This window comes from Homo sapiens, chromosome 10 (assembly GCF_000001405.40).
Source record: "Homo sapiens chromosome 10, GRCh38.p14 Primary Assembly".
Taxonomy (NCBI): Eukaryota; Metazoa; Chordata; class Mammalia; order Primates; family Hominidae; genus Homo; species Homo sapiens.
Genome location: NC_000010.11, coordinates 117254398 through 117276964, shown reverse-complemented (window position 1 = coordinate 117276964; position 22567 = coordinate 117254398). Strand labels below are relative to the sequence as shown.

Genomic DNA, 22567 nt, shown 5'->3' with positions numbered 1-22567 from the left:
GACAGAAGTGGTCTCTGCAGTATTTTCATTATACCTGTCAGGGGCCATAAGTCCACTCTGGGAACTTATACTCTATGAAGCAAGGGACAGGCAGGTTAGGTTTGTTATACTTAGAATCTTGGAATTGGGGTATGGGGATCCTGGAGGTCACCCAGTCCAACTTCTGTTTACAGACGTCATTGTAGCAACACACCTTGAAAGGATGTGCTCTCTCCTTAATGAGAGAAGCCCTCACATGTGAGAAATGTACCTAAGTCTGGACTACAACCCGTTTCCATTGTTTGCATTCATGAATCTGGTTCTGGTATCTTTTTCTTTCTTTCTTTCTTTCTTTTTTTTTTTTTTTTTTTTGAGATGAAGTCTTGCTTCGTCACCCAGGTTGGAGTGCGGTGTTGTGATCTTGACTCACTGCAACCTCTACCTCCTGGGTTCAAGCAACCCTCCCACCTCAGCCTCCCAAGTAGCTGATATTACAGGTGTGCACCACCACTCGCAGCTACTTTTTTTGTATTTCTAGTAGAGATGGGGTTTCACCATGTTGGCCAGGCTGGTCTCAAACTCCTGACTTCAAGTGATCCCCCCTCCTCAGCCTCCCAAAGTGCTGTGACTATAGACACGAGCCACTGCACCCAGCCAGTTCTGATATCTTCACAGGCTGCCCTTACAATCTTTTGTTGTTGTTTTGAGACAGAATGTCACTCATGCCATAGTGCAGTGGTGCGATCTCAGCTCACTGCTGCTTCCCAGGCTCAAGCCATCTTCCCACCTCAGACTCCCGAGTAGCTGTGACTACATGCATATGCCATCAAGACTGGCTAATTTTTAATTTTTTTTTTTTTGTAGAGATGACATCTCACTACATTGCCCAGGTTGCTCAAACTCCTGGGCTCAAGTGATCTTCCTGCCTCAACCTCCCAAAGTGGTAGGATTACAGGTGCAAGTGACCATGCTTGGCCCCCAATCTTTTAAGACCATATTGTCATGGCCCCTTAGATTTCTTAGTAGGCAAAACATGCTAGAGCTATTATTTTTTCACACATGTGATTTCCTGACCGCCTGTCCCCAATCCTGGCTGTCCTCTAGCTAAAATATATGATTTTTTAAAAATCCTCTTCTGATGAGCATGAAACTCTCATGCCCTCCTTTATTGTTACTGAAAATTTAAAAACTGTGACAAAAACGTGCTGCTCTGCTTTCAAACCAGATTGTCCAATAGTATTTGCTTATATTTGATAGCTGGCATTTATCATGCCAAGACCATGCTAAGCATTTTAGTGGCAATACATCACAATAACCCTCTGTGGGAGGTGAGAAAACAGGCACGGAGCAGTTAAAGAATTTGACCGAGGGGTGTACAGCTAGGATGGGGCAGACAGGAGCCGCCTGCAGCACTCCGTGGTAGTTAGATGAGCACAGAGGATGGCAAGGGGGCGTCATGTGCAACTAAAATGAATTATCAGGTATGTCTTGAGTTTTTCTCCATGTGAACTACTCCCCAATATTTTTTTTGCAGTTTGCAAATCTAAATAGATTAAAATGTATCTGATGTTGGCCTATTGTAACCCATCTTGTCTGTTAGCTATTACTCCCAGCTCTTGTCCCCAGATAAGACTCGACTCAGTGCTTAACCCATTTATCATTTCCCAAGACATTATCCAGTGATCTGTGTAACATGTGAAGATAAGGACTTCCTTGACCCTCTAAGTTAGGCTGCCAGCTCAACCTGTCAGCTTCTAACTTAACTGTTTTTTATGCTGCTTGCCAAGTGAATTGATACTTGTATTCAATAAAGAGCTCAATTTTTAAAATAATGGCGGCACTAGACTTTGTACACCAGGACCGTTCTCCCCATGTAACACAAAGGTTTAACCCCCCTAACAATAAATGTCTCATCTCCCCCAGATTAATGATTCGCAAGGAAATGTAGGGGTGGAGAGATGGAGCAGGTTAAAAAATGAAATTTGAGGGCCCTGTCCTCATGTGACAACAGTGTCAACTTTGAGAAACACTGCCCTAGTTACATGGCATTATCTAAGACTACAGCACTGTCATCTGGCTGACAACAGCTGACGGGACACCTACTAGGTGTTGCATCTCAGTGCCTTTAAGGTCCTATCCCAGCATCTTAGTTACCTCCCTGCACAGGCAAGGACAGGGACTCCAGGGTCCCAGGTGGAGTGCTCACTGCTGGTTCAGTGCCCAGGGAACGCTATCCTATAGAGGCGGGAGTTGAGGTAAACTTTGAAAGATGGAAAAGGTTTGGACAGCAAGGGAGGTGGCAATGAGTAAAACATGAGTTATTTACCAAGCAGGACACTAAGTAAGCCAGCCTGGCCACCACAGAGGTCTGCTGAGGAGGCACAGTGAGATACCAGTTGGGACACCCAACTGGAATGCAGGGCATGGGGCCTCGATCCTTGCACGGCTCCCAGGCAGGCAGGTCACCTTATAAAGAACGGTCATCACTACCTTATTCCTAATTGCCTTCCATCTCTTGGCTCATCCACATTAGACCTGAATGTAGGAATATGTCATCTTAAGGACCCCAGAACCTAGGACTGGGCACATGATAGGAACGCAACAAAAAACTGCACTGCAGGAAAAGCAGTTCAGTCAGACTATTTGGCATCATGCATACTTAACTGACCAGCATTTGTCAATTCACCAAAAACATATTTATTAGCAGCCTGTTTCAGGTGAAGTTTTCCTCCTTTAAATGTTCTGTAGCCTTTAAAACCTAGCTCACTGGCTTCCAAACCTCTCTTGAAAGATCTATTGTGCAATAATTGTACTTTTTAAAAAAAAGTTATACACAAATAAGCCAGGTGGCATGTAATGTTTCAAAAGTGCCATGAAGAAAGGCATGAACAGCATCAAGCAGGTCAGTCAGGTGCCCGGGGAACAAGTAGGGCGGCCGCAGTGCAGGCAGGTAAATTAAATCTGCTCTCCACACACTGCTGTGGTGAGGAAGGTGTGTTTGACTCTCAACCAAAGAGAAAATCAATAGGAGAGGATTGGCATTTGAATTCAGAGCAAAGCCCTCTTACTGAGAGGTGAGCCCCAGCCCCTCCAAATGCCCCTTTCATGAGTTAGGATCTCCTAAGTGGTACAAACAAACCAACATGGTGGACCAAATGAAAAGTATAAGTAATACAAAGCTGGGGTAGTGAACCCATAAAAGCATTAAAAGATAAGAGTGCCAGTCTTTGAGATTTTGATGATAGGTCCTGGGCCTTCTGAGTAGGAAAGTTTTATTCTCTTTAACATAACTAGAAAAGCAATGATGGTTTTGCACCCACTATTTAAATACCTGCAAAGGGACAAATTCTATAAACAACTTAGAATATGCAGAATGTGGTCTATCTCAGCAGCCTCGGGCCACCCCATCCTTGCCCCACGCATGGCATCCAGAAAACAGAGCTATTGCTGGAAGGGCTTTATGGAACAACTATCAGAGCCATCCAGGAAAAGAAAGCTGCAATCCTCAAACCACCTAATTTCTTGTCTTGGCAACAATTAGAAACTTCAAGAGTAAAATTAAGAAGCGTGACTTGTCTTTAAAAATAATTCTTCAACCTGGAAAAAAAAATCCGCAACACAGCTCTTCTCAACTGGGAATTTTGAGAGTGAAGCGCTACCGTGTAACTGTCTTATAAGACACTTTTCCTCAAATGGTAATGTTGATATTTCCTGTATGTGCAGAGGGACTTGAGTAACAGTTTTTTTCCTCCACCTATACTGATAATGCTGATTATAAAAAACAGAAATCCAGTAAACCAAATGGAAGACAAACTCACATGCTTATAAACTAGTTCATGATTCTGTCACTTGTGATCCATGAAAACAGCATTATATCTTACAATATAAAACAGCTTAAGTCCAAACACCTTGTTATCAGGATGCTGTCTAATGGAAGAATGATTTGCTAAGGGTCGTATGCCTTCTGGCCCTCACATCCCCCAGCATTTGGCAACTGCTCATCCTGAACGCCAGCACTTGTCTGCTCTGGGGTTTCTCAACTGCATGGTCATTGATTCTTCCTCCTCCCTCACACACTGCTGTCCTGCCTGCATGCCCCCTTATCATTAGGTGCTGTCGGCCGCCACCGCTGGCTTCCTGCTCTGCTTGCACAATGAGTAGGCAGCAACTGCTGGCCACCACTCTCAAATGTCACCATTAGGCCAGTCAAATGGCATCCAATGTGATGCCTTCAATTATGGGCATCATTGATGGGCAGCGAGATGCACACCTTCTCAAGTTTTTAATGATTTATCTTGCTAGGTGCTTATTAAGGATTGTAACATCTTGCAGTGAAAGTGGCTTCCTGGAAACCTATAATTCTTACTGTTTGGCCTTTCAGGATCGTCTCTTCCACTTCCTTCAGCATTTTTTTAAAACATGAACTGAAGTATTCGTTTAAATGGGGAAAGAGGAGGGGTACTGAGGCCTGCCTTCTGCCAGTCCTTCTGCGGAACACAGTGGTAGTTGGCTGGGCAAGCACATTCTCTGCTCATCCTCTGACCTCATTCATTTCCCCAAGGCCACAGATAAGCCATCAGGCTGCCGTTCACAAACGGACATCACAACAGCCACTGATGTTTGCCGGCTTGGCAAGGGGAGCCCATTCAGGAGTTCTGGGGTCTGTATAGCAAAAGGAAACTCTCACATCACAGAGGAGGAAAAAGGGAGAAAATTCAGGTATTGCTGGACTGACGGGGGAAGCCAGAGAGTTAGATAAGCAGGAAAGAGTGGGGTGATATTGGAAATAGGAACACACTTTTTGAGCCACAGGGCCAGTCACTCTGTTGGGATTCTTTCATTTAATCCTCACAACAATCCTATGAGGTAGACGTTATCATTTCTCCATGCAACAGAGGAGGAAACCAAGACTCATAAGCCTCTACATGGTGGGGCCAGTGTGGCTCCCAGGCCCATGCTAGCCCTAACTATCTCCCAGGAGTCTTCAAACAGTTTCCTGGGCTACAGGAGCATTTGTAGGTGATTTTATACACACACACACAGACACACACAAACACATATACACACATATATACTTTTTTTGGTCAAAAACATTGAGTAACCTCCATTCAGCCTTAAACTGTTATCATGGCAACAGAATGGCAGTTTGCATTTGTGCTGAGAATTTTCTGACTCCATTTCGGCAAGGTATTATGCTAGGGTCAGCCAAGCAAAGATGCATCTGAAATTTACACACCCAAGCTGGAAAGCAGATGTCTCCTAAGAGAGGTCTGAGAAGGTGATGTGGTTTTCAGAGCTGGGGAAGCATCTAAGCAAGCGGAGGGAAGGACAAGGGGATGGCTTCTGTCTGAGTTATTTCCACAGCACCTTCCATACCTTTTCCATGAGTCAGACGGGCCATGCATTACTCAAAAGTATCTAGTTAAATCCTATTTAAAATAAAGGGCACAAGGCCAGTGCCCAGTGCTTGATATATTTTAAAATATGTGGAATGAATTAATGAATGTAAAAAACACCCAAGACAAACACAGGCTGCACATAACCTTATTTTAAGGTTTGTCTTTAAATCTCCTTTTGGGGAAAAGCATCAAAGGGCAGTTCAGGAAATGCCAAAGCATTAAGATGCATTCAGTTCCACTGTCAGAAAGACCTTCTGATGTACTTCCAAGAGAACATTACAAACAAACCTCACATCTATTCAAACACAAAAATGCATGTCCTCTTGTTCACCTCATTCATCCTTAATCCAAGACACTCTCCTTTCACCTGGACAAGTACCTATCAGCATTTGCTGTTTTAAAAACTGGCAACACCAGATAAGAAAGATGATCAGAAACACTGAGCGTCTCCTTGCTGGGTAAGGTAAATACCTTAGAAAGGTTAAAATGACTCATGCATTTCAAAATTCAAATTTTGAATCAATTAATTTGGACTTTTTCAAAAGAGGGATGCTTTATACTCTGTATCTTGCCTATGGCTATAATTTTGGTCATAAAGTTATGAATTAAATCGTTCTGTGTGTTCACATATACCCCAAAGTCCATATACAATGATTTTTCCATAAAAATCGTAAAATCATCTCTAAAATCCTACATACAGTAAAGACAAGACAGCAACTATTACTGAATGCTGTAAGGGTTATGAGAAAAGCAACAGCACCACAAATGGCTAACCTTGGGCATAAGTACAGGAGGCAGAAAGATTGTGTCCAAGATTTTCAAGAACCATAGAAAATCAAATTGAATGATTCCAGGTTTATACTTGGTCGACAAAAGAGCAACACTGATGCTAATCTATGTACAAAAATAATTTCATTCTCCCAGTTTATAAACATAAGCTTGAAAGAAATAACTTTCACAGTAATAAAAAAATAAAAGAAGTAACTGCTCTATGTGGTACAAACTAAAAAGGAATTCTCACCATTTATGTTTGAAGGCTTTAGAATGAAACCATGAGGAAGCTATCAGGAAGGCCATGCTAAAATTATCAAGAAATGCTCACTGCATCCTAAATTTTTCTTACCATTTTTTCTTCTTTGGCAGGTGGACTTCGAAGAAAAAAGCAGAGAGGGGCAAAAAGAATATCAATTATCCCAATAATTGTCATGAGCCATGGAAATCCAATTGCCTTTGCAATAGCACCACCAGCAGAAGGACCTTTCAGGAAACAGAGAATTAGATAAAGCTCTTCCAAATGTCTTGTAGACTGAAAGATGCAAAGATTTAAACAATTTTAGTAGACGTTATCCATTACGTATTGAGGTAAAAGGTTCTTATGAAAAGCCAATGTCCTTACCTATAGCATACCCCATACAAAATGCCACATCCGCAATGGCGTACACACTCCCATAGACGGACACGTGCCGCAGGTCTACGAGGTAGCCCATGATAGGCATCATTGACGAATCCACCATTCCTGAAGACAGTCAGGGAACACAGTGTATAGAAAACGGATGTAAACCCAAAATGGGCCGAATATCAGGGAGTGTGTCTTAAACTCACCACCCTGCCAGCTCTTCCCCTTCTGTCATCACCACCTGCAAGTCTTGGGGTGATACTAATCTTTGAGTAGAAAGAATGAAGGAAGCCTTTTCTGACCCCCAGAGGAGGTCAGGTTCCCCTCGTATACAGATGTTCTCTCACAGCATCATCTCAATTGTCATTCATTCTTCAATTCTTTGCTAAATGCCCAACTCTTCTGTTGGTTTTGTTCACCCATATCCCCAGCACTTGTACATATTAGGAAGCAGCAAGCACCATTTCAATGAAAGAAACTTTCCTCATGTGCCTGCCACTGACACATGTGGAGGGGAGGGCACCAACCTCTGAGTCCCTGCCAGTGTGTTCACAGACACTGGCTCACAGCAGCCAATCATGAGCATCCCCATTTTATAGATGAGGAAACCAATACTCAGAGAGGCGAGGCTTGACCACACTCACTGAGCCAGGGAGTCTGAGCCAGGAACTCTGAACACACACCATCTTTATGCTACCTGCTCCCCACTATTCAAGAGACGAGATTCTAATGCTGGTCGTGGTTGTTGCTGGGGTGTATGTCTGTATGTATATGTGTGTATTTATGAGTATGTATGTATATGTATATATGTATCTGTGTATGTCTATGTATATGTGTGTATGCATGTGTGTATGTGTATTATGTATATGTATATATGTATCTGTGTATGTATGTGTATATATGTGTGTACATGTGTTTGCATGTGTATGTGTCTGTGTATATGTGTTTGTGTATGTACTTGTATTTGTGTATGTGTGTGTATGTGTATGTGTGTAGGTGTGTGTGTATGTGTGTATATGTATGTGTGTATGTGTGCATATGTATGTGGGTGGGTGTTTGTATGTGTATGTGTATCTACGTGTATGTATGTATGCATATGTGTGTATGTATATTTGTGTATGTGTATGTGTTTATGTGGGGGGTGTATGTGTGTATGTGTGTGTGTATGCGTGTGTCAGTGTGTGTATGTGTGTTTGTGTGTATGAATGTGTGTGTTTGTGTATGAGTGTGTATGTGTATGTATGTGTGTGCATGTGTGTTTTAGCTTCTTTTAGTTCACACACATACACACAACACACACATACACACTCATACACACAACACACACATACATGGATACACATGCATACACACACACACACACATAAACATACATACACACACATAATTTCTGAGCAGGGCCAGATGATCTCTCGGACTCCTTGGAGTTCTGGGGCGTTCTGGTCCCCCCTATTATTCTCCACCTTGGAAACACCCATAGTCTAAGCGTGTGGCCCAGGTGTGACTGGCAGGAGGTGGGTCAGGCATGCAGGTGTGCTGAGTGGTGAGGGACAAGTGAACCAGAAAACAGCAAAGCAGGGAAGCACCAAAAGGATGCAGGCCAGGGGCCGTACAGTTAGCAACCTGCAACTCTGCCAGACCTGCAGAATGGCAAGGGGAGCCGCCAGAGGACTAGCACCCTCCCTAAAAAGATGGGCCAACCAGACAGTGGAGGACAAGGGGAGGCAAGGCAGAGGACAGGCAAACGGTCACCTGAGAAGGACCTAGAGTACCATACTGAGTTCTACCCCAGCCTCAGCAGCCTTCTACCATCTGTCCTCAGTGAAAGCCATGCTGTGCCACTGTACCACTCAAAGGTTGCGTTCCTGCTTCTACAGGGGTGGACTGAGCACTTATTTTTATCATGATCAATTGGTATATTATAAATAAGAGACAAAAGTATACCATTCACTCAAAATAGTGACAGATTTTTCCTAACATATTATCATTCTTAACATTACAAAAGCCCATCTCCTTGCCCATGGGAATTCCTGCAGCACAGGCGGTCATCAACACATTAGTCTGCTTTGTCTGTACTAAAACCTCTTCAAAATACATATGTGAAGCCTTTGCCCCCAGCCTCATGAGAAGACCTGCTCATAGGGAGGAGTCCACAAAAATGAGCTCTGTGCAAGGGATTCCTTTGTTTGCCCAGCCCCAGCAGTGGAGCATCAGTTTCCTTCTGTAAATATCAGCTTTTAAAAAATACTGGTTTTCAGGAAATAAATGACTAGTGCATAGAAGCAGGTGTCTTTACACGGAGAATCGACAGGCTGTAATTTAGCTAAGCTGCCTGCAGCCTCCTTCTAAGATTCTGGAAATTTAGGTTGAGGAACTACAGTCTACCAGAGGAAGAAGAACCCTTCCTAGTGGAAAAGCGGTTTTAAATGTAGGCACAAGGTTCGTGTGACTTACCAATTGCAAAACCAACTCCAAAGTTCGGAGCTATGAGTCCATAAATGTTTTTTGCAAATGGAATCTGTAAGAGGAAATAAACATTATGCTAAAATAACAAGAGATCCAACTCTAAATCATCTCGGAAAGTCTTGAACTTGTGTTTTCTCTGAGCGTGGTATGCCTGTTCCCTTCTGAAGAAAACAGGAGGAAGAAGGGTGGGGTTTGTGAAGAACCGGACCCTCCAAATCTTTAAAAGTCAAAGCTTGAAACGAGTTTTATGACCACCATGAAAAACTTGTCACCGGCATATGTGAAAGATCAGCCTAGTCCACCCTCAAGTTTTGACAAGAACAAGTAGGCCTCATGAGGGATGGATATTGGCCATTGGTAGAAGAGATTTTATTCTAGAAAAACATCTTGCTATTGTTTCAGGTTGGTTGTCCTGAAGTGTTTAAGACACTGTCAAGCTTAAGATGATGCAGGGGAAAAGTTAAACTGTGAAATAAAACATTTTAAATAATTTCTGACATAAAATGAAAATACACTCCTTGGAAAGTCTTGTCCAAACATTTTTAAGATGATAAAAAATTAGAATAAAATGAAAGCTGTAATAAAACATCAACAAACTCAAACGTAAAATGTTTCTTGGTGATTCTTGCCCAAAGCGCAAGTTTTATTCACAGATTGTTCCCACTTGTCAAATGCCATCTTTTACTCACACATAAAATGCTGACTCCAACAATTATCATTCCCAGAAGAGCACAAAGCCACCTACCAAAAGAAAAAGCACCATCAAGAAATGATCATTTGATTTTTTTCTAGTCCAAATTTTCAATGAAAATCAAAACAATTACTTGTAACAGCAAAGGCAGAAACAACTTAGAATTTTTTGAAAGAACTACATTATTGTAACAGAATGAGTGTTGTTTTCATATCATCTTACCTCCCCATTTTGTGTGCAAGTATCCCAAAAATATTGGTTCCAATGAGATAAGAGATACTAGCTGGCAAGAAGGCAACGCCTGTAAATTTATGAAAAGGAGACCTTATCAGTGCTGATATCAGTCATATGTTAGAAAAAGTAATAACTGTAGACACCACAATGTTGATGAGAGCAGATAAAACGAAGCCCCGGGGCCCACACCCCAGCAGCTAATATCCGGCGCCTGCCGGATCCGGTCTGGACCCACGTGGCTTATCCTCCACACAAAGCTGCTGAGACACTCCAGAAATGAAAGTCCTTTCTCTATCAACTGCTTCATCTTGCCTCCATCTCTGGCTGGTGGTGGGCTTCACACGTGGGCCAATACAAACAGCTCCTGCCTGGGAGCTCAGCACCTGCAATCTTATGTGTGATTTCATCCGACAGAAGTAAGACGCAGTCATTGAAAGAATTAGGGAACCGTGAGATAAACAAAAAGAAAAATGTTAAAATTACCCCAAACCCCATCCATTACTCAGATAATCACCACAGTTATTTTCTCCTGTAAGTTTATTTACATATATAAATATATTTATGTGTGTTTTGATTTACAAAAAAAAGGGATTATACTCTATCCTGCTTGTTTCAGTTAGCTTTATGAACATTTTTCTATGTCAGAAACATAAATGTCTGCCTGGTCATTTTTTGTTGTCAAGTCAGATTTTTTTTTTTTTTTTTTTTTTGAGATGGAGTCTCGCTCTGTCACCCAGGCTGGAGTGCAGCGGCACGATCTTGGCTCACTGCAACCTCTGCCTCCCAGGTTCAAGTGATTCTCTTGCCTCAGCCTCCCAAGTAGCTGAGACGACAGGCATGCGCCACCACGCCTAGTTAATTTTTGTATTTTTAGTAGAGACTGAGTTTCAACATGTTGGCCAGGCTGGGCTCAAACTCCTGACCTCAGGTGATCCGCCTGCCTCAGCCTCCCAAAGTGCTGGGATTACAGGCGTGAGCCACCACGTCCGGCCTCCTATCCAAGTTTTATTGCTGTCCCCATAGAGGACACCTGCATCCCCCAGGTTCTGATGTGCCCAGGGTGATTCCCTGCTGGTGGTGGCAGCAGTGGCCTTGAACCTGTCCTCCGCATTGAACAGAAAGGCCTAACCATTATCAGACCCAGCTTGGCTACAGGGGAATTGTCCACATCAGCTGTGTCTGGTCCTCATCCATCCAAGCTGTGTGTGGTCCTCAGAACCACAGGACAATCTCTTTATGAGTGACTGCTTTTCAAACTCCTAGTGATTTTAGTATTTTTTCCTTGAAATCAGATATACCAGACTTGATTCCAAGCCTTGCCCACACATAGTAAAAGTTACTTTGTTCTCAATCAGAGGACTGCATAAGTGAGACATGCAGGTAGATATCAGATGACCGAGTGCCTGCTACACTCAAAATGCATGGGGCCTGGAGGTCCTTCTCATCCCAGCAGCTGGCCACACACTCACGGGCAAGTGTGATCTTGTCTCTTTAGGATAAAGCACGAACGTCTACCATCAAACCCAGAAACAGGCTGAGTCTTCCAACACAGCAGGGACTTCCAAATAAATGGCTCCATGAGCTAAATCCAAAACCAGATCATTCTAGACATGGGAGTTCTGGGAAACACTAATAAAGAGCAATCTCATTTCATTTTCCAGAGAATTATTTCTGTCATGCTTAGCAATATGTGGTGGTCAAATAATTGTTCAGTGTAATCTGATTGAGCAAACATTTACTGACAGCCACGTGCCCAGCACAGCAGTGGCCTGCAGCAAAGACAATGACAACGTGATTCTTGTCCTGACGCAAGTGTTTTGAAGGAAAGGAGCAGATGACGTTTAAACTGTGACCTGGCCAAGTAAGGAACATAACAAAAACACAGGTGTCATGCTCTGGGGACCTGGAACTGCGTCTGGCCAAGCTCCACAGAGCAGATGGTATATAAACCTGGCCTCAAAAGCTGTGTCGTAGGACTTCCTACCAGCTCTAGGGACTGTTAGTCCGGATAGTAAGATATCATGACAACATTTGTCTCATGATAAGAATCCCCAAAGGCCAGGTAGGTATAAATGAATAAAACAAGCAAATTGCAAGCAGAAATAACAGTGCAGATACCATGATAAAGAACCACTGACATTCAGCCTCAGTGTCAGAGAAATAAAATGAAAAATGGAGCAAAGAGAGATCTGTGGTGACCCAGAGGGCCCAGACTCCATCTAGAAGGCAGACGCCACTCTCTGTGGCCATTCACTCCCCTGAGGGACTGCAGTTCCAGTATTGGAAGATCCTGTTTGTTTTTTGAGGTGGAGTCTCAATAGAGGCAGAATGTCAGTGGCTCTGTTGCCCAGGCTGGAGTGCAATGGCACGATCTCGGCTTAGTGCAACCTCTGCCTCTTGGGCTCAAGTGATCCACCTGCCTCAGCCTCCCAAAGTGCTAGGATTACAGGCATGAGCCACGCACCCAGCCTCAGCAAGAATTCTTTCTAGGGCTTCTCCCGACTCTGAGAAAAGTGTTGGCTGGGACTGGCCTGCAACAGTGCCCTGGGCCATGGCAGGAACCCTCCCTTCTGCGGGGCAACACTCTTCACATATCTCTGCTCACACCAGAAAGTTCACCAAAGGGAGATCTTCTACATTTTGGTACAATCTGGCTTCAGCCACGGCCTTGGCCAGCCAGTGAGAGAGGGGCTCCGGTCATCACGAAGCCTGCGGGGAGATGAGCTGGCCATCCAGCCCCGGAAGCAAAGGTGGAAATGAGACCTTGGGTTTCCTCCAAGCTCAAGATGACCCCTCCCTGAAGGCCAAGGGCTCGGCCTAGAACCAGAATAGGGGCAATGGTCTGCCCTGTCCTATGGCAGGCTTAGGAGGATCCTAAGTCCTCGCACCCCAGAGCCACAGAAGGCTGGCAGTCCCTCTTGTCTTCTGGTACAGGCCCGTGTCCTACCCTCCATCCCACTTTGCATCCCCACAGCTCATTAAATACAAAGGGGCTAGAAGAACCAGAAGACAAGAGTGTGCCTCCATCCTTGTCTGGGGCCTGTTGTCCAGGGCTTCAGTTTCCCTTTGGGGGCTTGTAGGCCTCACCCCAAACTGTAAGTCCCTAAGTCTCAAGGGGTCTGGAGAGGCCATCTGACCTAGAACTCAGATATAGAGAAAACACCATGAAATCATTCTTTCTCCACCCACTCAAGCCCAGGGCTTCCCCTCAAGTGGCAGATGAGGAATTTGGGGGGCAGGCTGGCAAGGGAGCGACGTGGAAGATGGGTAGGCTGCCATCTTTACTACCCCTAAAAAATGTGGCCAAAAACAATGCCTTCAGCAAGAGCAATCCTGTGTCACCCATGCAGCTAATAAGATTGTTTGCCCTGACTTCAAATATCATAGTCTTTCTCCAGAAACAGTGAAGGGAAGCATAAAGGCAGAACAGCCTCCCTTTCACCCTGGACTGGAGCGAGCTCAGAGAAGATTCCTGAACACCAGAGTCTGGGCTGCAGGGGCAGCTCCCCGCCCTCAGCACTGGGTCCTCCGCACTGCTTCACTCACAGTACCCCATCCCCAGGGTCAGGGAGCCATGGGCTGAAAGCTACAGAGAACTAGGGAAGGTGGGGTATTTCCCCTCCTGCTGGTGCTGACACAGGAGGCAGGTAGAGAAACCTGATTCTCTTAAAGACAGACATGTCTATCTCTGGGGCAAATGAAAGGAGGAACCTCGGTGGTGGAAATGTGCAGCAAGCGGGTTGAGTGAACGTCTGGCGCCGGTGATAGGCCCCACACAGCAATCTGATGAGATCCAGGCAGCCTGCACTCTGCTATCTGCCCCTGATGGCCCATGGCTTCTGGCTGACTTTAAAGATTTTATAAAGAAAGCCTCAGGCTTTGTCTGAAGAGGATGAGCACAAAACATCTTAAGTGTCCTGCACATGGCCAGGACACATTCAAAGAGGATGAGAGTTCAGCTAGGTGGCCGGGAGACCCAGTTCACGCCTGTAATCCCAATACTTTGAGAGGCTGAGGCAGGAGGACAGCTTGAGCCCAGGAGGTTGAGGCTACAGTGAGCCATGATTACACCAGAGCACTCCAGCCTGGGCAACAGGACGAGACCCTGTCTCTAAAAATAAATAAACAAATAAGAGCTTCTCAGCTCAAGAGTTGCATGCAAAGTCAACACAGCAGCTGGACTCAGCAGTGCACACCCCACTTGGACAGCGGGCGCCTCCTGAAAACACCGAGAGATCCACATCACCTCAAGGGCCAGAGGGAAGAAAAGCTGGGAAACAGCCTCTCCAGTGTCAGCAGCGGGTATGAGCAACAAGGCTGGAGGGTGTCTTCTCATCTGCTGTTTGCTGACTCGGTGTCAGATCCAAGTCCACCCCTCCTGCCAAGCGGCACGCCTCTTTAGGAGCTCTGAAGGTCTTTGGGCTTCCACTTTCATCTTGGCTGCTAGGGAGTTCAGAGCTAAATTTTCTGCCTAAGAAACATTCTTGTTTAATTCCAAGAATCCTTCCTCCTTCACTGAATACCTCTTCTGATGTCAGGCTTGGTTTGGGTTTTGTTTTATGACACAATTCACGTGGTTTAAAATTCACCCTTTGGGCAGGATGCGGTGGCTCACGCCTGTAATCCCAGCACTTCGGGAGGCTGAGGCAGGGGGATCACGAAGTCAGGAGTTCAAGACTAGCCTGGCCAAGATAGTGAAACCCTGTCTCTACTAAAAATACAAAATTAGCCGGGTACAGTGGTAGGCACCTGTAATCCCAGCTACTCAGGAGGCTGAGGCAGGAGAATTGCTTGAACCCGAGTGGCAGAGGTTGCAGTGAGCTGAGATCGTGCCACTGCACTCCAGCCTGGGCAACAGACTGAGACTCCGTCTCAAAAAAAAACAAAATTCACCCTTTGACAGTGCATCGCTCAGTGATGTTTAGTGTATTCACAGAGTTGAGCAACCATCATCACCATCTGATTACAGAACATTGTCACCATCCCACAAAGAAACCTCACACCCCATTAGCAGTTTCTCTCCATCCTTACCCCCTCTCCCCCGGCCATTTGGGACTTTTTAGGTATTGTTCGATGAGAGAGCATAGCAACTCTGCAGATTCCAAAGACACTGGTACTCAGGCCAGCCCAACTGCAGGGAGGCAGGCAGAACAGGGAAAGTCTAAGCCAGGGGGCAGCTTCTGGCAAGACACCCCCATTCCCCAGGGCTGGATGCCTGTGAGAGAATAAGGTCACCTGAAGAAGGGTTGGGGACATTGAAAATGTCTGCTTGATTCAGAGCTGAGAGTCTCCATCTGAAGCTATCCACACGTACCTTGAAAGAACTATAAAAAGAATATAAATCTCTAGGAAGGACTGTCAATAAATTCTTAAAGAAAAAGGGAGAATTGCTTGAACCCAGGAGGCAGAGATTGCGGTCAGCCAAGATCGCGCCATTGCACTCCAGCCTGGGCAACAAGAGCAAAACTCTGTCTCCTGGGCTCAGGTAATACTCCCACCTCAATCTCCCGAGTAGCTGGGACTTCAGGTGTGCGCTACTACTCCTGGCTAATTTTTTTGTTGCTGTTTTTGGGTTTTTTGTTTTGTTTTGTTTTGTTTTGTTTTTGTAGAGACAGGATCTCGCTGGTCTTGAACTCCTGGTCTCAAACTCCTGGTCTCAAGAAATCCACCTGCCTCGGCCTCCCAAAGTGCTGGGATTACAGGCATAAGCCACCGGCCCAGCCTGCCATATGGTTTCTAATGGCAAAAACTGGAACTGTTAAGGAAGCAGAAGTTACACCATTTTAAGCTCAGCTCCACCTTAAAACTAGCAAAGCACATTCCTTGCCAGTCACGACCCATAGTCATGAGATGTTTAGAGTTAAGGAAACAGCCTAAAGATACGTACAAGGACACTCTCCTACAACAGCAGAAAGTCCAGATGTGCTTTCTGAGGACGCCCTGCTCTAACAGAGTTGTTTCTAATAAACTTGCCTCTTCTACTGTGTTCTGTGACATGCCATGAATTCCTTCCTGAGTGATTTCCAAAATCTTTATCTTGGGGTCTGGATTGAGATCCCTTTTCTGGCAACAAAATGAGCCCAAATGCCCAATAATAGGGACTGACTGAGGATTTCAACAGTTATATGTTGTTTTATTTTAACAATAAAACAATATGCAACCATTAAAAAGAATAAAAGGTTTCCAGTTAAACAGGGCAGACTGAATCTATAGTTTTTCTCCACTCCCACCTCAAAGTCCATTTAAATGCTAGCAAAGGAATAGAAGAAAATTCTAGACACACAGCCTATGCCCCCTTCCGCCCCCATACCTTCCTGAGGACAAACAGAGTGGGAGAGGAGAAGGGACAATACGAGGAAGAAGTGAGCAGAGGACACCGCAGAGAATGCTGGAATCTTCCACCTGCAAATGGTGAGGCCAGCAAGAGGCAAGAGCCATTGTGCCTCACAGCCAGAAAGGAACTGAAGCTTCGGGTACTGTGAAGGTGGGGCTGAAAGCAGAGGCTGTCAACATGAAAGCAGGCAGAGAGGCTGTGTTAAGAGCAGTGGGGCCCCTAGCACTCCAGCCTTCACCCTGGCAGGAGACAGTTTCTCCACAGAAATTAACCAGAATGGCAACCGGGGCAACACAAGAGGCTGAAACAGGAACATGGTGGGAGGGTGTTTTTGCAATAACAACAACCTCACCAAAACCCCAAACACTCAGGGTATACACAAAAGGCTCTTCAGATTTAAGATATGATAGCATCAATTTTAAAAACTCAATAAGCAGTTTAAAAGATGAACAGGAATAACTCAATGGAAAAGGGGAAAGACAAGAAATTAGAAGAATAAAAGTAGGGAGCCTAACGCTCAGCCAACTGGAGTAAAACAGGAGAGAAAATAGGGGGATTCATTCAAGTAATAATACAAAGAGTCTCCCCAGAATTGTAACATGGGGTTCCCCAAGTGAAAGGGCTGATTAAGCAAGTGTTCAGCCCAGAGGAGGAAAACAGAGCCCACTGCAAATCATCAACATGGACTTTTATAACCTAGAGAAGAAGTAAAGGTCCCTCGGGCTCCTACAGAGGCTCAGGAATGAGGGCAACACTGGCCTCCCCCACAGCAACCCTGGATGCTAGAAGACAACAGAACAGTGGCCCGAAAACTCCCAAGGGAAATGATTTCCAACCAAGAATTATACATGCAGACAAAGTCAACAAAGTGTAGGATAAGGGTAAAATATTTGCAACTATGCAGGGTCTCAGAGACCTTTACCTGCCACGCACACTCTCAGGAAGCTGTGGGAGGCTATGCTGTGGGAGGCTATGCTCTGCAATAAGGAGGAAGTCAGTCAAGGGCAAGGAATACAGGAAACAGAAGAGAGGCACAGAAGATGCTGGGGTGATGGGGAAGGAAGTCTAGACTGAAGACCTAGGACAGACATCCACAAACGAGCAAATACACAGAAAGATCAGGTTTGCCAACACTTGACTGCAATTGGAGAATTTTTCATCTTTGCCAGAAACTTTGGTGGATATATTCATAAACACTACATAAAACATTAAGAAAATGAAAGGACAAGGCAACGACTAACTCCAGGAAAATTAAATTTGCAAAAAGAAAGGAAATTAATCACAGTACCCTACATAGCTCAGTCAGCTGTGAACAATAATTACCCAGTCACAATAATGTCAGTGCTGAATGCCAGTCTAACAAGAAGCTGTAATGCAATTATTCAGGGAGGACAGAAGATGGGAAAATGTGTGAGCTGGTTGTTTGATACTTCTATGTGGCGCTGCAACGGCATTAAATAATCCCCATCTACTGTATTAGGAAGCTGGTGGACAATGTCAGAAATTGGAAAATTTTTAAAAAGGGGGTGTCATTAGCCAGGTGTGGTGGCACGTGCCTGTAATCCCAGCTACTCGGGAGGCTGAGGCAGGAGAATCGCTTGAACCCGGGAGGCAGAGGTTGCAGTGAGTGGAGATCGTGCCACCGCACTCCAGCCTGGGTGACAGAGTGAGACTTTGTCTCAAAAAAAAAAAAAAAAAAGAGTCGGGGGTGTACACATATTATTTAGAGACATAAGGGTATCAGCAGAAGAAAGATCTAAAAACGTTGAAGGTGATGGAATCTGAAGGGCTTTGGGGATCAAGAGGCGTGGGAAAAAGACAGCTGTTTTTCCTTATAATTCTTTTATCTTTGACTTACAATTATGTACATGTGTAACTTTGATAAAAAAAAATAAAATTTAATTAGTTTTAAAAAGTAAATCTACTTGTTCTGACACGGAAACATGGCCACAAAATTGCATGAAGGAAAAACAAGAGGTCACACAGTGATGTAAATGGCAAAATTCACTTGACTGGATTTTTAGGCATTTCATGCAATAGGGTGGTAAACACAGAACCATCTAGAAAAAGACATAGAACTGTTAACAATGAATATCACAGGAGATGGGCTGGGGGAGGGAGAAAGATGAGCATGAAATTTAAAAATGTTTTACGTCCTCAATCAGCACACTTTGATTTTGTTATAATAAGCATGTATTACTTTTCAAAATTAAAAATACTTTTTAAGAATTAATCCTTTTAACAATTAGTTTGTTATTAGTCTCTTTCACATAAATTTTATGGCTGTCCAGTTAGTCCAGTTCAGAAACAGGGGAAGATGCTGACTGTATTTTTACTCTCATTTCTGCCCAGATCTGATGTGTCTGTGTGAGTTCTGCACCCCTCAGGGATGATGGATAAACCAGAGAACAAACAGACCCCAAGGCTGCCCTAAGCAATGACCCCATTAAGAGTCAAACAGAAGCAATCACTTTATCATCCCCATAAGGGCAACTCAGCAGGGATGCCCTGGGGACAAAGGCTGCCCTGGGGACAAATGCTCTTGAATCAGAAGAGCCCACCCCAGTCCTTACCCAGCTGCCACTTTCGGGAACACATGGTCTCCATCATCCAGATGGGCAGGGCTGGCTCCAGCATGGCGATGCCCATGTTTGCAAAGCAGATGGAGCCTGTAAGGGAGGAAAGGGCTTTGTAGTGGCTTCTGCCTCCTCTCTCATTTCCAGGCACAGTTAGACTCCATGCGCCTACAGCTCAGATAACCGCAACTTCTACTTTCATTAAGTAAAGGATAAATCGCATATCAAGGGGACAGCAAAGGCTGTTTATCATAATCATCATCATCATGGTCGTCGTCGTCCTCATTTTAAACAACTAGAATCCCAGAGACAAAGTTTGGACTGGAGGCAGCCCTAGAGTTCCTTTGGTTTAACCTACCCAATTATGGTTTTATCAATGAAGAAAGGAAGCCCAGTTTATTAATGCAGTAGCTTGCTTGGGGCCACCCAGCAATCAGGCCACTTCCAGACCACACACAGTCTCGGGGCAGCCTGAGGCTCTCGCATCTGTGTTTTACTGTGCAATATACGTGGGCATTTCTAATGATACCTAGAAATGCCAGAAAATCCAAGCAGGATCAGGTGCATTCAGTACAGGCATGCCGTTAGGTGGAGGGGGCGGGGTTCAGCGGTACATAAGGGCACCTATGCAAATATTCATGATCTCTTAACCAGAACCCTTTGTAAATATAGAACTATCTGGAAAAAGACCCACGGAACTGTTCTCCATCGTTCTGGGAACTTCCCGTGTTGTGCCTCTTGGAACCTCTAATTTGCTACAACAAATTCAAAGAATATTGTGCAATCGTGATGAAGGTGCACATATGGTGAAGAAAGGTCTGTTCATTCGACATGACACTTAAAGGCAGAGCATATCAATGGCAGGACTCCCCTCAAGTGGACAGCCACTTGGCTCTCAACTCCCTTCCCCAGTCGGGCTGTCTGGAAGTGTCGATGACAGTCCAGGAGTGCTGGGTAGCATCTTTGTGTCTCCTGTGAGCAGGTACTAGGCAGTGAGGTTCCAGGGAAGCCCAAGACAGGACAGGCCCAGGCTGCACAGCCCTGCTCAGACGTGCCCGAGGTTCAGGAAGTCACATTTCTGGAGCCCCCGTCCCTCACCATACCTCCTCGTCCCCACCTCAGATGCCAGGGTTCCAGAAGCATCTGAGCTCTGGGATGCCCCCTGCATCTTGCAGACGTCACTGCATGAATAAGTCACCATGCCACCTCCATATCCCTTTGGCCAGCAAGCATGATAGACAGGGTCTTGGCCAGGGTTACATACCTGCTGCCCTAATCAAATCCAGCAGCAGAAGGGTTAAACAAAACCAGCCTGAGGGTTGACAAAGGCTGAACTTAACTACTGGTGCCCAGTTCTCCCAGGCGCCCTCCAGCCTACCTGTGTTAGGGAGCCGTGCTTAGACAAGTCTAACCCTAACTGGGTCTAGTGCTACAGTGCAGGCTGCCCCAGAGACCAACACATCAGCGCGCAGCCAGACCTTCTCCTGGCCTGACCCCAAGGGTCTGCTTACCTTGGTACTGAGGCCCAGCAACACCTACACAAGGCTGGTCCCTGGTTAGGCAGCCCGGGGCCTGGCAAAGCAGGCAGCCTCCTACCACTGGGACAGTCTTGGGGAACAGTCCCTTGGATAGATGCAGACCATTATCCTTCCCAAGAGTCACAAAACCCCAGTGCTTTCTTTTAGCCCCTCTAGGCCAAAGCATGTCCTTTAGCCAAAGGGTGTTTGAACGGCCTCCCTGCTGCTCGGCAGGGATGCTCTCTGCAAGAAGGGAGCCCCTCTGGTCCCTGTGGGGCTCTGCTGTCAGTTTCTATTCATATATGCCAAGGTGAGTCAGACTGCCCACCGGGGACCCTTGCCTTGAGGCCAAGGACTCCTTCCGGAAAGTTCAAGGCCAAACAATGATGGCCTTCCATACAAACACAGTGGGCAAGCTTAGCTCCAAACAAACCCAGCCGGGCATCCCCAGGACCCAGGCAGCTCTGCAGAGCCCAGCATACGCCATTTTGATTTTCCCCAAATGAGACAAAAAGGGCCTTGGCTGAGTGTCAGAAAGCAATGGCGGAAGAAAACCATTTCCTTTGACTTGTAGCCTCTTTGCCTTTTCTGTTTTTTTATATAGCCCAACATTTCTAGCAGCAAAACGAAAATCAGCCCTGGCCATCCACCCCTGCCTCCAGCACGCGGCCATCACCTCGCATTCCCCTGACTCAGAAGACCCACAGAGCCCCACCTGCAGCAATGAGGATGTACGGGTCCTTCAGCAGCGTGGTTAGGGGTGTCCCCTTCTGACTCTGTCAAGAAAAAAACACGGGTCAGAAGCAGCACCATGCCCCCTCCCCCAGGGCCCTCATTCCCAGCCGCTTACCTCTGGCTGCACCCGGGACGGCTGGAGCACAAAGAGCTGAATAGCTAAAAAATAAAAATAAAAAAGACAAGCCCCTCTTCAGAAAGCAGGTGTGGCCCAAGCGCGTGCCAGCACGATGCCAAGGTCATGGCATGGCGCCCACGTGGACTCACTCACCTCCATCCAAGAGTACCAGGGCGGCCAGCACCAGGAACGGAGCCGTCTTCCCCACAAACTCATAGAGCACACTCCCGAAGGGGGGGCCCACTGCAGGGAGAGAAAGTGGGGACACCACCCCTGGGACACATGCCCTCTCCCTGTACTAGAACCATCTATTTGACTCTTGTGTTTCTCTCTCTACTTTGTTCCAATAAGGCTTTGGGGTGGCTGCCCTATTGTTCTGTTCGGTTAGAGTTCAGTTGTCTTGGCAACTTCCTCCAAGTGCCTTTTCCTAAGAAATGGGCAGGAGTCTATAAAGGTCACCCTGAAAGCAAAGGCCCGAGAGAAACAAGATCCAGGCCCAGGGCTGGGCTGCTTCCACTGCACAGGAAAATGTGTAAACAGAGACTTCGCTCCTTGTACACCAGCGCAGGCAAGGCTGCAGGCTCCTGGAAGCAGGCGGGAAATCGGAAGAGGAAGGAAAAGGTTTTGAATCCCTCTCAGGGAAGATGTTTGTCCCCTGGTCTGGGAAGTCAGCCAGGGCAGCTGGGGGAGGCAGACCCAGAAAGCAAGGTTCTCCGTGATCACAACTCACTGAATGTTCCCGAGGAAAGGGTCTGGCAGACCATCCTGTTCAACCTTTGGTTTTCCATCTGGGCCCAGGGAGGTTTGGGGCAGAGGCAGGGGAAGTCCTGATCCCCTCCACCCCCAGCTCAGGGCTCTTCCTACCATTTTTCAAAGTCTCCATGAAAGCAGGAAAGGAAAAAAATAAAAAGGGGACCTCTGTGTCAGTGCAAACTGCGCCAGGGTCACTGGGCGAGGACTGCCGCTGTCCAGCACCAGGCAGGCCCCTCTTGCCAGTTTGCCTACACGGGGGCCTTACCCACCTAAGACCCCCATGGCCAGGCCTCCCAAGGCGATTCCCATGACGTTGCCTCTCTCTTCATCATCTGTGTAGACACTGGCAAGCATGCCCATCCCTACACA

General features: G+C 45.9%; 1 protein-coding gene across 1 annotated transcript in view; it reads right to left on the bottom strand.

Annotated features, from left to right (window-relative positions):
- The window catches only part of SLC18A2 (solute carrier family 18 member A2), a 38317-nt gene that overhangs the window by 2466 nt on the left and 13284 nt on the right, over nt 1–22567 (bottom strand). The window contains exons 6-15 of the mRNA NM_003054.6: nt 22468–22560; nt 21599–21688; nt 21443–21486; nt 21308–21368; nt 19073–19168; nt 10154–10232; nt 9930–9981; nt 9229–9292; nt 6775–6894; nt 6502–6635 (exon numbers count right to left, since the gene is read on the bottom strand). Of these exons, the coding sequence (NP_003045.2) occupies nt 6502–6635; nt 6775–6894; nt 9229–9292; nt 9930–9981; nt 10154–10232; nt 19073–19168; nt 21308–21368; nt 21443–21486; nt 21599–21688; nt 22468–22560 (833 nt within the window). The remainder of the gene's footprint in view (nt 1–6501; nt 6636–6774; nt 6895–9228; nt 9293–9929; nt 9982–10153; nt 10233–19072; nt 19169–21307; nt 21369–21442; nt 21487–21598; nt 21689–22467; nt 22561–22567) is intronic.